The following is a 13408-nucleotide window of genomic DNA, read 5'->3' on the forward strand; positions in this document are numbered from 1 at the left end:
GAGAAACAACATGCCTATAAGCACCACAAGATTTTTTTTTTAATGAAGCAAAGGAAAAGAAGAACTAGCTTCCTATAACTAAGCATCTGCAAAGAAGATGGAACATTCAATGGTTACAGATCTTCAGCCCTCAAGCCAAACAGATCCTAACATTAGTATTACATAGCCTCCTCAAATGAGTCCACATCTATAATCACAAGTTGGTTCTTCCAACATAGATGATAGTCCTGATGGCCTGTCAAGATTCAAGTTAACCTGATGTCTCACTACTTACCCACAATGCCATACATCTAGTCATCTCAACACATCAAAACACTGGGCACCACAGAATCATCATCATTGTTATAATCACTATACTTGGGTTATCAAGAGAGAAGACCCAGGGTTTTGGTAAGTGTTAACACATTAAACAGAAGAAATAGGTGAGAGTTGAAACAAAGAAACTTTAATGTTCTGGCTGACTACACTATGTTGATAGGCTCACAATTACTGCATCTATACTGAAAATACATAGACTCTTTTCCTTATCATGATTCCCTAAACAATACAATAGAACAACTATTTGCATAGCTTTTATAATGCATGAGGTATTTTAAGTAATCTAGACATAATTGAGACTATACAAGAGGATGTGGGTAAGTTACATACAAACATGTCATTTTATAAAAGGGACTGGACATGGCTCACGGAGTGCTGGAACCAATACCCAGCAGGTATCAAGGGATGACTGTACTGGAAAGAAACTGAAACTACTTAAGGCTTTACCAAGTGCTTACATTCACAGGGTCTATCTCCAATGTGTTTCGTACAAGTATCTGAAATGAAATAAAATTAATAAATGCTTTCCCACATTCCATACATTTAGAGAGAATGCTAGTGAGTCTTTTTATGTCTATGCAAGGAACTGAGAGAAGCAAATGCTTTCCCACATTCCTTACATTCATATGGGTTCTCTCCAGTGTGAGTTTTTTTCCAGTGAGTCTTTTTATGTCTATGCAAGGAACTGAGAGAAGCAAATGCTTTCCCACATTCCTTACATTCATACGGGTTCTCTCCAGTATGAGTTTTTTCATGTCCTTGAAGAAAACGGGAATGAGTGAAGGCTTTACCACATTGTGGACATTCATAGGATTTCTCTCTCATGTGAATTCTTTCATGTCGTAGAAAGCAAGTGAGCCAAGAGAATGCTTTCCCACATTCCTTACATTCATACGGCTTCTCTCCAGAGTGAATTCTTTCATGTACCTTTAAGTTATCATAATGACCGAAGGCTTTCCTACATGTTTTACACTCATAAGGTTTCTCTCCTGTGTGAGTCCTTTTATGTCGAGAAAGGTATCTGAAACGACTGAATGCTTTCCCACATTCCTTACACTCATATGGCTTCTCTCCAGTGTGAGTTGTTTTGTGATTTTGAAAGGAACAGAAATCAATACAGGCTTTCCCAAGTTTGCATTTATAGGGTTTCTCTCCAGTATGAGTTGTTTCATGCCTTCGAAGGGAACTGGAAATACGGTAGGCTTTGCCACATTGTTTACATTTATAGGGTTTCTCTGCAGTGTGAGTCCTTTCATGTCTTTGAAATACACTGGGATAAACAAAGGCTTTCCCACATACCTTGCATTTATGAGGTCCATCTCCAGTGTGCATTATCATATGACTTCGAAAGCTTGAGCGATGAGATAATGCTTTCCCACACTGCTTGCATTCATAGGGTTTCTCTCCAGTGTGAGTTCTTTCATGACTTTGCAGTGAACTAGGACAATCAAAGCCTTTCCCACATATCTTACATTTATGAGGTCCATTTCCAGTGTGCCTTATCATGTGTCTTTGAAAGCTTCCCAGATGATGAAACGCTTTCCCACATTGCTGACATGCATAGGGTTTCTCTGCACTGTGAGTGGTTTCATGTCTTTGAAGGGAACCGGAAACACTGAAGGCTTTCCCACATTGTTTACATGTATAGGGTTTCTCTCCAGTGTGAGTTCTTTCATGTATTAGACAAGAACTGGAATCAGGGAAGGCTTTAGAACACTGCTTACATTTATATGGTTTCTCCCCAGTATGTGTTCTTTCATGTCTTAGATAGGAACTGTAAAAAGGAAAGGCTTTAGAACACTGTTTACATTCATACGGTTTCTCCCCAGTATGTGTTCTTTCATGTCTTAGATAGGAACTGTAAAAAGAAAAGGCTTTAGAACACTGCTTACATTCATATGGTTTCTCTCCAGTGTGCGTTCTTTCATGCATATGTAATAAACTGGGCCAAAAAAACGCTTTCCCACACAACTTACATTTATAAGGTCCATCTCCACGCTGCACTGCCATGTGTCTTTGAAGGTTTCCCAAAGAACTGAAGGACTTCCCACATTCTTTACAATCATATGGTTTCTTTCCAGTGTGAAGCCTCTCATGTGTTTGAAATGAGTTGTGGTAACTGAAGGCTTTCCCACGTTGTTTATGCGTATCTGGCTTCTCTCCACATTCATGATACTCATGTGGTTTGTGCCCAGCACCAACTCTGATGTAACAATTAAGGGATGAATGACCCATGACTTTTTCTCCTCTCATACTGCTTTCACAAGGACCTACTCCAGGAAGAGTGTTCTTGGTCACAATACTATCTTGAATCTGGCTAGATGTTTCTCCACATTGAGTTCCATCTTTACTTTCAACAAATCTCTCTAACATACGACATCTGTAAAAAATGGGAAATATATCACTAAAAGTCGGTCTATAAATAATTGTATAGGTATTAATAAGTATTGGATGTACATTTTTAACACTATCATGCGAAGTGCAGGCTTCGTGTCCTGCTTGAATGTGAATGGATGGAATGCTGTGCAAGGTAACTCGACCCAGGTGTTCTCAAGACAATCACATTCATATGTGGATTCATAATATTGTTGTCATGGGAACTAATTTATGAACACTGAACAGCTATGGAACATTTAAGTATATATTTTGGAGAAAATTTTCTAAGAATAAATAAATTTAAGCTAGCCTTGTTCATTTTCTTTGCTTCTTTTTAAATTTTCATGTCATTCTCAGAACGGCTCCAGGGACATATCTTTCTCTTGTGAGTGTAAATTACCTTAGATTTTTCCTGGGATATCTATATTGATCTTCAATGTTCTGGTCTTTCCATTTCATTACTAAAAGGTATACACAGAAAAATCATTACAAATTTTTACAAAATTATAGACAAACAGTAACATTTTGATGTACACTGCAATCGTTCAAAATGCATTCACTGAAGTACACCTGACTCTTGAAAAACAGAGGTTTGAACTGCACAAGTCCATTTGTATATACATATATATATGAATGTTCTTCAGTCTCTGCTACCCAAGACACTAAGACCAGCCCCTCCTCTTACTCAGCCTACTCAATGTGAAGACAATGAGGATGAAAACCTTTCCGAGGATGCACTTCCACTTAATGAACAGTAAATATAGTTTCTCTTCCTTATGATTATCTTTTTAACACTTTCTGTTTCTAGCTTACTTTACTGTGAGAATATACGATGTAATAATACGACATAAAATATATGTATTAATCACTGCTTATGTGACTGATAATGCTGCCCATCAATAGTAGGCTAAGATGTGGACAAAAAGTTATATGAGGATGTACAACTGCTACAGGAGCTGGCACCCCTAAACCCTGTTTTTTTTTTTCCAGGGCCAACCATATCCCCTTTCCATATTCCAAATCTTTGAACAGCATGAATGACCAAGAAACAAATGTCTCCAATTAAATAAGTGGAAATGCGATGTCATCCTTACCTACACAATCCAGGTTCCTGATGGTTTCCTGCATCACATCTTTGTAGAGATTCTTCTGACAAGGACCCAGCAAAGCCCACTCTTCTCGGGTGAAGTTCACAGCCACATCCTCTAAAGCCACTGAGGCCTGATCCATCCCACATGTACAGAGGAGGAAGGGTGAAAATCACAGTACTGAGAATCTATACTCACTTCATAAATTTCACATGATGCTGTGGTTTCCAACCATTTTATTCAATGACATGGTAAACCCACTCTTATTCTCTGTCTACACTCACTTTCTCCTACACAGTAACTCTGAAGCTACAGTTAAACGTTTGGTAAATTAACAGTGGGATAGAAACATGCCACTTGTTGGCGAACTAAGTGAGTGAATCACATAGCCTGGATCACCCCTAATGTCGATTTCCACAGTGGGTCTGCAGTCCTTGGCACGATAAAGTCCTACTACTTATTGTGCAAAAGGGAGTTACCATTAGCAGTGCTGAGACTGCGTGTCCTTACAAATGCTTTTTCACAAAGTTGGGCTTTTCATGGTGTCTAGACAGTGTATTTAGGGGAGGGCCCCAGGAGCATAATAACAGGGGTGGAGTGTGCCTAAATTGTTCATGCAAAAAAAATATAGTATTTCGTTAACTCCCATCTTCCTTCTGAGAGTCTGGAATTTTGTTACATACTCAGCAGACAGAGTGCACTGATCAGCCACTGCTAGGTTTGAATGGTTGTCCCCTCCAAAATGCACACTGAATGTTAATCTCCAAAGTGGCAGAAAAAAAAAAAAAAAGAAAAAAAAAGTGGGGGCTTTAAGAGGTGATTTAGTTCTGAGGGTCTGGACCTCATGAATAGATTAATCCATAATGGGTGAATGAATAAATGAGCTATCTCATGTCCTTCTGAGAAAAGAAAGAGATCTGAGCTAGACACTCAGCTCCCTCACCATGTGATACTCTATGCCACCTAGAGACTCTGCAGAGTCCCCATCAGCAAGAAGGTTTCTCATCAGATTCCCAGCCTTAACCCTGGACTTCCCGGCCTCCAGAAATGTAAAAATTAAATACTGTTTCTTATAAATTACCGAGGTTCAGTAATTCTGTTATGAATTACAAGAAACAGGCTAAGACAGCTACAAAGAAACACTCTGGGCATTGGGTCTATAATGAGCTTTCTGGGTAGATAATATTTCACATGTTTTGTTGCAACTTGTTATTTGGGGGATTTAGCCCATCCTATGTGATTATACTTACAGAGAATATTTGGAAGCTGGCAACTAGTTTCCTTTAGATCAAATGTAGTGAAGTATCACAAGAGACTGATAAAAGATATTTCACCATCTCAATGGAAAAATTTTAAACATTTTCTTGAGTAATGCCAAAAGGAGAAGGAAAGAAGGGGAAAGACTGCATATATTCTTAGAAAGAACTCAATGTCATCTCTCATGAATATTTATAATACTTCCTAAATAACTAAAACGGACCTTTTAGTAGTCAACAAAAATTACATTACCAAGTCTAATAGAACTCACAGTATCTAAAAAATGCTGGAAACTTTCTCACCAAGAAAGTGCAGCTTTCCAAAAACAAAGAATTTTGAAACTATAATATTTGGCTCCCCATACTATTAACACAGAGACAAATATATACATATACATATATATATATGAAGAAAAATGAAAACTGGTAGAAAAGTCTCGTAGAGTTTTTATTTGTCCTTGGCCCAATCTCTCCCCCATCAATGACACTCTTGAACACAGCAGCCCGAGTTCCCAGTATAGAACCCTGAACACTAACTCTAGAGACAGCAGATCAGACCTTATTTGCAAATTATTGCCTTGCATTTTCCAATCTGTATAAGCACTATCCAAAGGTCTGAAACAAGGCTGCTTTTTTTTTTTTTTTTTTTTTGAGACAGAGCCTTGCTCTGTCACCGAGACTGGAGTGCAGACACATCACCCAGACTGGAGTGCAGACGCACAACCTTGGCTCACTACAACCTCTGACTCCAGATTCAAGCAATTCTCCTGCCTCAGCCTCGCAAGTAGCTGAGAGTACAGGAATGCTCAAACACATTTGGCTAATTTGTATTTTTACTAGAGACGGGGTTTCACCCTGTTGGCCAGGCTGGTCTCAAACTCCTGACCTCAAATGATCCGCCTGCCTTAGCCTCCCAAAGTGCTAGGATTACAGGTGTGAGCCACAGTGCCCAGCCAAGGCCCTCTCTTCTACTTTATCTACAATATAACACGATCAGGGTCCAATTTGGCAGGAACTGCATGAAAATGTTGCAAAATACACAAAAAGCCTGTAGACAACTGCAAGAACAGACTATGATTAAGACATACAGTAGACCAACTAAGTCACGGAGAAAAAGAGCTGAAGAGAAAATGTCCTCCAGATATCAGGGTACTCAAAAGCACCCAGGTATCCTAGGGAATTGAGAAAGCCCCATGCATGCACAGTAAAGAACACATTTTCACAAAAGACACCGGAGAAAAACATTCATTTTCGCTTCTGGCTGATCTGTAGCTTTAAGTAAGCAGAACATAAAGCATAAGTAGAGTATTAAACAGCCTGGCTAAGTGTTCAAGGGATGCCCCAGGCACAGAGCCATCCACAAAGACTGGAAGAGGTCAGGCTTTTGTATGCTTCATCTTTTTTACTAGCTTCTAGCATTCAGGAAATCTCTGCCAGAACACTGGATGAACACACACTAAAGAACAGAGATGTCAGTTTCTACAACAAATAAGGAATACAGTCTGTGCAAACATACTTTGAAAATGTTATTAAACAAATGAACAATTACAGTCTTCAACACACATAAATAGAAAACAGTGAGGAAAGAAGAAGAATCCAATTTTCAGAAGTACCCCATTATAACATTCCGATATCTACTTTTCAACACAAAATTATGAAGAATACAGAAAAACATGAAAATATGGTTCATCAATTGGAAAAAATATAATTGAGATAAGCCATCTCTGAGAAACCTCAGACACCACTCACTGAATAAAAACGTTAAAACAACTATCTTAAATATGTTCAATGAAGTAAAGGCAATGATGAACAAATAACTAAAAGAAAACCAGAATATAGATACAGAGATAAAATAATATCTATTAAAAAGTAGAAATTAACTGGGCGTGGTGGCTCACACCTATAATCCCAGCACTTTGGGAGGCCAAGGTGTGTGGATCACCTGAGGCCAGGAGTTTGAGACCAGCCTGGCCAATGTGGTGAAACCCTATCTCTACTAAACATACAAAATTAGCTGGGCATGGTGGTGCACGCCTGTAATCCCAGCTACTTGGGAGGCTGAGGCAGAAGAATCGCTTGAACCCAGGATGTGGAGGTTGCAGTGAGCCGAGATCGTGCCACTGCACTTCAGCCTGGGCAACAAGAGCGAACCTCTGTCTCAAAAAAAAAGGGGTAGAAATTTAGCCATATAGAATTTATGCAGCTGCAAGGTACAACTAAAATGAAGACATCTTCACAAGTGTTCAACAGATGTGAGCAGCCAAAAAAAAAATCAGTTAAAATGATGATAAATGAATTGAAATTAATCTAATGGGGAAAAAAAGGAATGAAATTGAGAGAACATGTGATTGGTGTACTTGTCTTGCCAATAATGTTAAAAGAAGTTCATCAGAGAGAAGAAAAATGTTACAGGTTAGAAATTCAGATCATACACACACACACACACACACACACACACACACAAATATACACATATGCATATATATGAAGAGCATTAGAAAATAATTCAATGAAGGCACAAAAATTATTTCCTTTTCTTATTCCTATTGGATATCATAAAGGTTTGTTCAAAAAATAATAACAATGTATTGGGTGGTTATAGTTTATAATAGGGCAAATGGATGACGGTGATGTTAAATTGGGCAGGAGGGAGGAATGCTGAACACTGGGTTATATGAGCATTACCCTAAAAGCCAGTACAGTGTTACTTAAAACTGAAGGTCCATTTGTTGTGAATGGTTTACTCCAAATGCTAGGGAATTCAATAATAAAATGTTAAGAAACAACAGCCTGTCACAGTGGCTCAGCCCTGTAATGCCAACACTTTGAGATGCAAGACAGGAGGATTGCTTAAGATCAAGACTTTGAGCCCACACTCAGCAACACAATGAGACTGTCTCTACGAAACGTGTAAAAAATTAAATAAATAAAAAAAAAATTAGCCAGGTGTGGTGGCCTGCACCTGTAGTCCCAGCTACTCAGGAAAGCAAGTAGGGAGGATCTCCTGAGCCCAGGAGTTGGAGGTTATAGTTAACTATGATTGCTCCACTGCACTCTAGCCTAGGTGATAGAGCAAGAACCTGTCTCAAAAAAAAAAAAGAAACAAAGAAACAAAGAAACAAGTAGACTTACTATACTATTAGAAGAAAACACAATCATATAGACACCTCAGTTAAAATAAAAGGAGACAGAAAAAGAAAGGAAGTTGAAAAAAACCGACAAGTATAACAAATATAAAACAATTATATATGTACACATGAATCCAAGTATATCAATAACCACTTTAAATGTGTATTATATGAATATACCAATAAAAGAAGACAAGGACTGACAGAGTAGAATAAAAAAAACAAGACCTACCAATGTGTGCAAGAAAACTATTTTTTTTATTCTCTCAAGAAAACTATTTTAAGTAGAAAGACACAGGTACATTAAATATAAAGGTATGAAAAAATATACTCCATTCTAGCCCTAATCAAAAGCCATATGGGGATGGGCATGATGCTCATGCCTGTAATCCCAGCACTTTAGGAGGCCAAAGCTGGTGGATTGCCCGAGGTCAGGAGTTCAAGACCAGCCTGGCCAATATGGTGAAACCCCGTCTCTATTAAAAATACAAAAAAAAAAAAAATTAGCCAGGCATGGTAGCACGCACCCGTAGTCCCAGCTACTCAGGAGGCTGAGGCAAGAGAATCGCTTGAACGCAGGAGGCGGAGGTTGCAGTGAGCTGAGATCGTGCCACTGCACTCCAGCCTGGACAACAGAGATGCTGTCTCAAAAAAAAAAAAAAAAAATTGGTCTTAGCTGGAGGTGGGGGCATTGGCCTCAGGCCTCTCTGCCATAGTCAAAGCTACTCTCTTACCCTTCTATGCTTTACATGGATATTTAAAAACAAAATACTCATGTTTGATGAATCCAGGAAAATCACTCAAATTCAGTGTCTATGTCTACGGGTGGGAAGGAAATTGTAAGGCACTGACATTTTATAGCTCAACAGGAAAAGCCCAAATACCTATCCCTTCCAGACAATGAATGTCATTTAATTACTATTTCCATGATAGTAAGTGATATAGTAAAAAATAATTATATTTTACTTCTTTAGCTGTTGGAAAGTCCTGTCCCACAGAATTTAGCATTCATCTGTCAGATATAACAGGAACAGAACAGATTTCTCCATTGTCCCAAAATCTCCACCCTTTTAAAAAGGAGAAGAACTGAACTTTTGTTAAATCTTTTTAATTCAATGTACCTATTACACTTTCTTGTAAAAATGTATTCCTTTTTTGCAGCCATAATGGAAGAGGGTTTTTCCCTTGGTAGTAGTTATACTACTAAGTCCTGAAATTCCATCTGAAATCATCCGAAAAACAAACACACCTGAGAAACGTACTACACAAGCTCTGGGGCAAAAAAAATAAATAAAGGCTTTTAAAAAATGGAATAGAAGATTACATATACCATTTATATTCTGAAGTCCAACTCTTTCTAGTATTACTTATAAAATTTATTTTCTGAAGTCCGACTCTTTCCAACTTTGGGTATACTTTGTCTTCAAAGTATAAAATAACAATCTCTAATCATAGGATGTATTTCACGGTTAATCAAAAATTTAGGCTGAAAAGAGTAAACATATCTTTTCAAGCTAACAAACTCAGGAATCAGCAGTGCTGACTGGAACACAGAAAAGTCTAATGCAACAATCAGTGCAGGTCATCCTATCACCTGGGACATCCCTTAACCCTATTCTGTTCGCCACCCTCCTAGGAGACACTCACCACCCTCCTAGGAGACACTGCCTTGTGTGCTTTTCAGGATCTTGCACTACCTCAAAGGGCAGGTTCTCCAGTCCTTAGATATAACTTTCTACCTTTTAAGTCTGAGAGAGTCCAGAAGGCAAAAATCATTTCCGTTTTTTTTCCTATGGAATATGACCATGAAATTGGCTGTTCAGTCATGTGTCTCCAAGGAATGGAAACTAGGGTTGGGAAGAAAAGGTGAGTGTCCCAGGAGTTAGCTTTTTACAGGAATTATATACCAGAAGATTCCTCCCATCCCAGTGGATCCAGTTGCTCCCCAGGGGGCCACACCTTCCATCTCAGGCTGTCCCCTGGGAGGAGTGACCCAGGGGATGATATTCACTAGACCCTCCAAGAGACTTGGCAGCTGTGGACATCCATTTTTTTTGAGACAGGGTCGGCCTCTGTTGCCTAGGCTGGGATGCAGAGGCACGATCATAGCTCACTGCAACTTCAAACTCCTGGGCTCCAGCCATCATCCCACCTCAGCCTCAGGAGTAGCTGCGACTACAGGTGCCAGCTACCAAGCCCAGCTAATTTTATTATTATCATTTACACTAGAGACAAAGTCTTGCCATGTTGCCCAGGCTGGTCTGGAACTACTGGGATCAAGCAATACCTCTGCCTTAGCCTCCCAAGGTGCTGGAATTACAGGAATGACCCACCGTGTTCAGGAACCCAAAACAATTCTTTCAAGAAAAAGCCATACATTGCTAGCTGAAAACAAGATGACAAACTAGTGAAATATCGCCTGGGGCCAAACAGTTCATACTGTTGCTGTGAATTAAGGACAGAAGGTTAGCCTGGGGAAGTCTCTGGAAACCAAGAGATTTGCTGCCAGCCCTAGGAAGAGTCAGGATGAGAGAACACAGTGGTGGATTTGAGACCCTGCTGCCCACGTCTTTGGAAGACTCAGAGGGGAAACGGTCGCCCTTGGAAAGGAAGAAAGGACTGAGGACCACGGAAACCACAGCTCCTCCCACACACAAACCCCACACACGAGTCTGGATTCCACCTGGTGACTCGTCGTCACCGTGCAGCCTCCTCACCGGGTTCACAGGAACTGCGAGCCAGGCTGGAGGCGAGATTGCAGTTAGATATTAAACAGGTGCCCTCAGCCCCGCTGCCTCAAGGGGCCGCCTCCCTGAGAGTCAGGTCACAGCAGACGCTGACCGCCGGCTTCCCCATTGTGCCTGGGGATAAGATCTCCGAGTGCTGCTCAAGAGTCGCCGGAGTTCTCAGATCCTGAATCCCAGCAGAAAGGCTGGCGCCAACCAGGTTGAAGACCCCACGAGGGAGCCCTCTCAGCAGAATGCGGTTTCTTCACCTCCTGTCCCAGGATTCACCCCTCACTTCCCCACCAACCAAGGACGCTACACCCAGCCGCCCCCGTCCAGACCCCAAATCCCTCAGGGAGGCGGATCTGGGGTGTCCTCCCCTCTCCTCCTGTTAAACCGTTTCTGCTGCAGCCCTCGGCGTCTCGGTGCAGTGAGTCGGGCCGCGAACCTGTGTTGGTTACAGCCGCACAATCTGGGGAGACCCGGGGCTGCGGGCTCGGAGCTGCCCAGAGAGGGCGCCGGGGCCGCAGTCGCCGCGCAGGAACGGGACAGGACGCCCGGGGTCCCGGCTGCATGCCCAGCCCCACCCTGCGGCCGAGGGCCGACCTACGCCAGGGGGACCCGGGTCCGTAGATCCCGAAGTCGCCCTTGGGGAGGCCCGGGTCCAGCCACAGCCGATTACGGCCGGTTCCACCTAACCCCTCCCCCGCCTCGGGACGCCGGCCCAGCACACGCACCATTTCCCGACTTCCGCGGTGTCCCAGGTCCTACCGACAGCTCCCGCTGCCAATGCGTGTTCCAGCCAGACAAAGGCTGCCTCAGAACTTCCAGGTCGTCTCTCAGCTACAGAACCCAGAGCCGAGCGCAGGTGGGTGGAGCAGACGCCGCGGGCTTTTTCAACCACACACACTTCTCTGGGCAGTGCCTGATTGACAGTTCCCACGAACCCGCCCCACGCCCCTGATTGGATAGGGCGTCAGGTCCCGCCCCCTGAGGGCTGATTGACAGAAGAAGCGATCTTGCACAGCTGAGTGGAGCCGGATGAGCAAGTTCCTGACACAGCCCTTGGCAGGGGGGGCTTCCTCCCTGCTCTTTGATCTGAATCCTCCCGGGTTATATTTGCACTTAAGCGGAATTTCCTGCCCGTACTCAATAGGACCTCCTGCTTCTTCCTCCTGGACACGGACTGACAAACTAATTATATCTTTTTTTTTTTTTTTCCTCGAGAGGGAGTCTTGCTCTGTCGCCCAGGCTAGAGTGCAATGGTGCGAGGCTCACTGCAACCTTCGCCTCCTGGGTGGGTTCAAGCAATTCTCCTGCCTCAGCCTCCCGAGTAGCTAGGATTACAGGCACGCGCCACCACCCGGCTAATTTTTGTATTTTTCAGTAGAGGCTGGGTTTCACCATGTTGGCCAGGCTGGTCTCAAACTCGTGACCTCGTGATCCGCCTACCTTGGCCTCCCAAAGTTCTGGGATTAGAGGCGTGAGCAACTGCGCCTGGCTCCAATTATGCTCTTTTTCAATGAAATTTTTCAAGATTTTTCAATGTACAATTAAATTATTTTTTACTATAGTCACTCTGTTGTGCTAGCAAATACTAGGTCTTATTCATTCTTTGTAACTATTTTTTATACCTATTAACCATCCCCACTTCCCCCATAACTACTCCTCGCTACTACTTTTCGCAGCCTCTGGTAACCATCCTTCTACACATTTTTGGTTGTTTGAGATGGGGTCTTGCTCTGTTACCTAGGCTGGAGTGCAGTGGGGCCATCATGGCTCACTGCAACCTCTACCTCCTAAGCTCAAGCAATCCTCCCACCTCAGCCTCTCAAGTAGCTTCAGATTGTTCACTGTTGGCATATAAAAATGTTATTGATTTTTGTGTGTTGATATTGTATACTGCAACTTTACTGAATTTATTTCTCAGTTCTAATACTTTTTTGGTGGAGTCTTTAGGTATTTCCAGATATAAGATCATATTATATGCAAACAAGGATAATTTGACTTCTTCCTTCCCAATATGGATGCCCTTTATTTCTTTTTTTTTCTTTTTTTTTTTTTTGTCTTATTGCTCTAGCTGGGACTTCAAGTACTGTGTTGAACAACAGTGGTAAAAGTGGGCATTCTTATTGTGTTCCAGATCTTACAGGAAGGGCTTTCAGTTTTTCCCCATTCATTATCATGCTAGCTGTGGGTCTGCCATATATAGCTTTTATTATGTTAAGGTATGCTCCTTCTTTACCCACTTTTTTTTAGGGTTTTTATCATGAAGGGATGTTAAATATTATCAAAAGCTTTTTCAGTGCACATTGAAATGATTATATGGTGTTTGCCCTTTATTCTGTTGAAATGATACATCACATTGATTGATTTGCATATATTGAACCATCCTTGCATCCCAGGGATAAAGCCCACTTGGTCATGATGAATGATCTTTTTGGTGTATTGTTAAATTCAGTTTGCTAGTATTGAGTTGAGGATTTTTGCATCAATATTCATCAGTGACACTGGCC

The 13408-nt window shown here is 41.6% G+C and overlaps 1 protein-coding gene across 1 annotated transcript, besides 2 other annotated features; it reads right to left on the minus strand.

Moving 5' to 3' along the window:
* Positions 1–423: 423 nt before the first annotated feature.
* ZNF443 (zinc finger protein 443) lies at positions 424–11739 on the minus strand. Its single transcript, NM_005815.5, has 4 exons — positions 11630–11739; positions 3789–3915; positions 3095–3155; positions 424–2698 (listed from the first exon to the last, which is right to left on the minus strand). Exons 1-4 carry the CDS (start codon positions 11630–11632, stop codon positions 874–876), a joined length of 2016 nt encoding a protein of 671 aa, NP_005806.3. The 5' UTR covers positions 11633–11739; the 3' UTR covers positions 424–873.
* Positions 11418–11507: a silencer, noted in NCBI's record as "silent region_10150". NCBI's record gives its function as "represses an Ori minimal core promoter by ATAC-STARR-seq in GM12878 lymphoblastoid cells {active_cell/tissue: GM12878}" and the evidence as "EXISTENCE:reporter gene assay evidence [ECO:0000049][PMID:35858748]".
* Positions 11918–12187: an enhancer, noted in NCBI's record as "active region_14055". NCBI's record gives its function as "activates an Ori minimal core promoter by ATAC-STARR-seq in GM12878 lymphoblastoid cells {active_cell/tissue: GM12878}" and the evidence as "EXISTENCE:reporter gene assay evidence [ECO:0000049][PMID:35858748]".

This window comes from Homo sapiens, chromosome 19 (assembly GCF_000001405.40).
Source record: "Homo sapiens chromosome 19, GRCh38.p14 Primary Assembly".
Taxonomy (NCBI): domain Eukaryota; kingdom Metazoa; phylum Chordata; class Mammalia; order Primates; family Hominidae; genus Homo; species Homo sapiens.

Coding starts and splice junctions, on each gene's coding strand:
- ZNF443 (NM_005815.5), bottom strand. Junction 3,156..3,788: donor CAGGAACCTGGATTGTGTAG/GTAAGGATGACA, acceptor TATACCTTTTAG/TAATGAAATGGAAAGACCAG. Junction 2,699..3,094: donor TATCCCAGGAAAAATCTAAG/GTAATTTACACT, acceptor CATTTTTTACAG/ATGTCGTATGTTAGAGAGAT.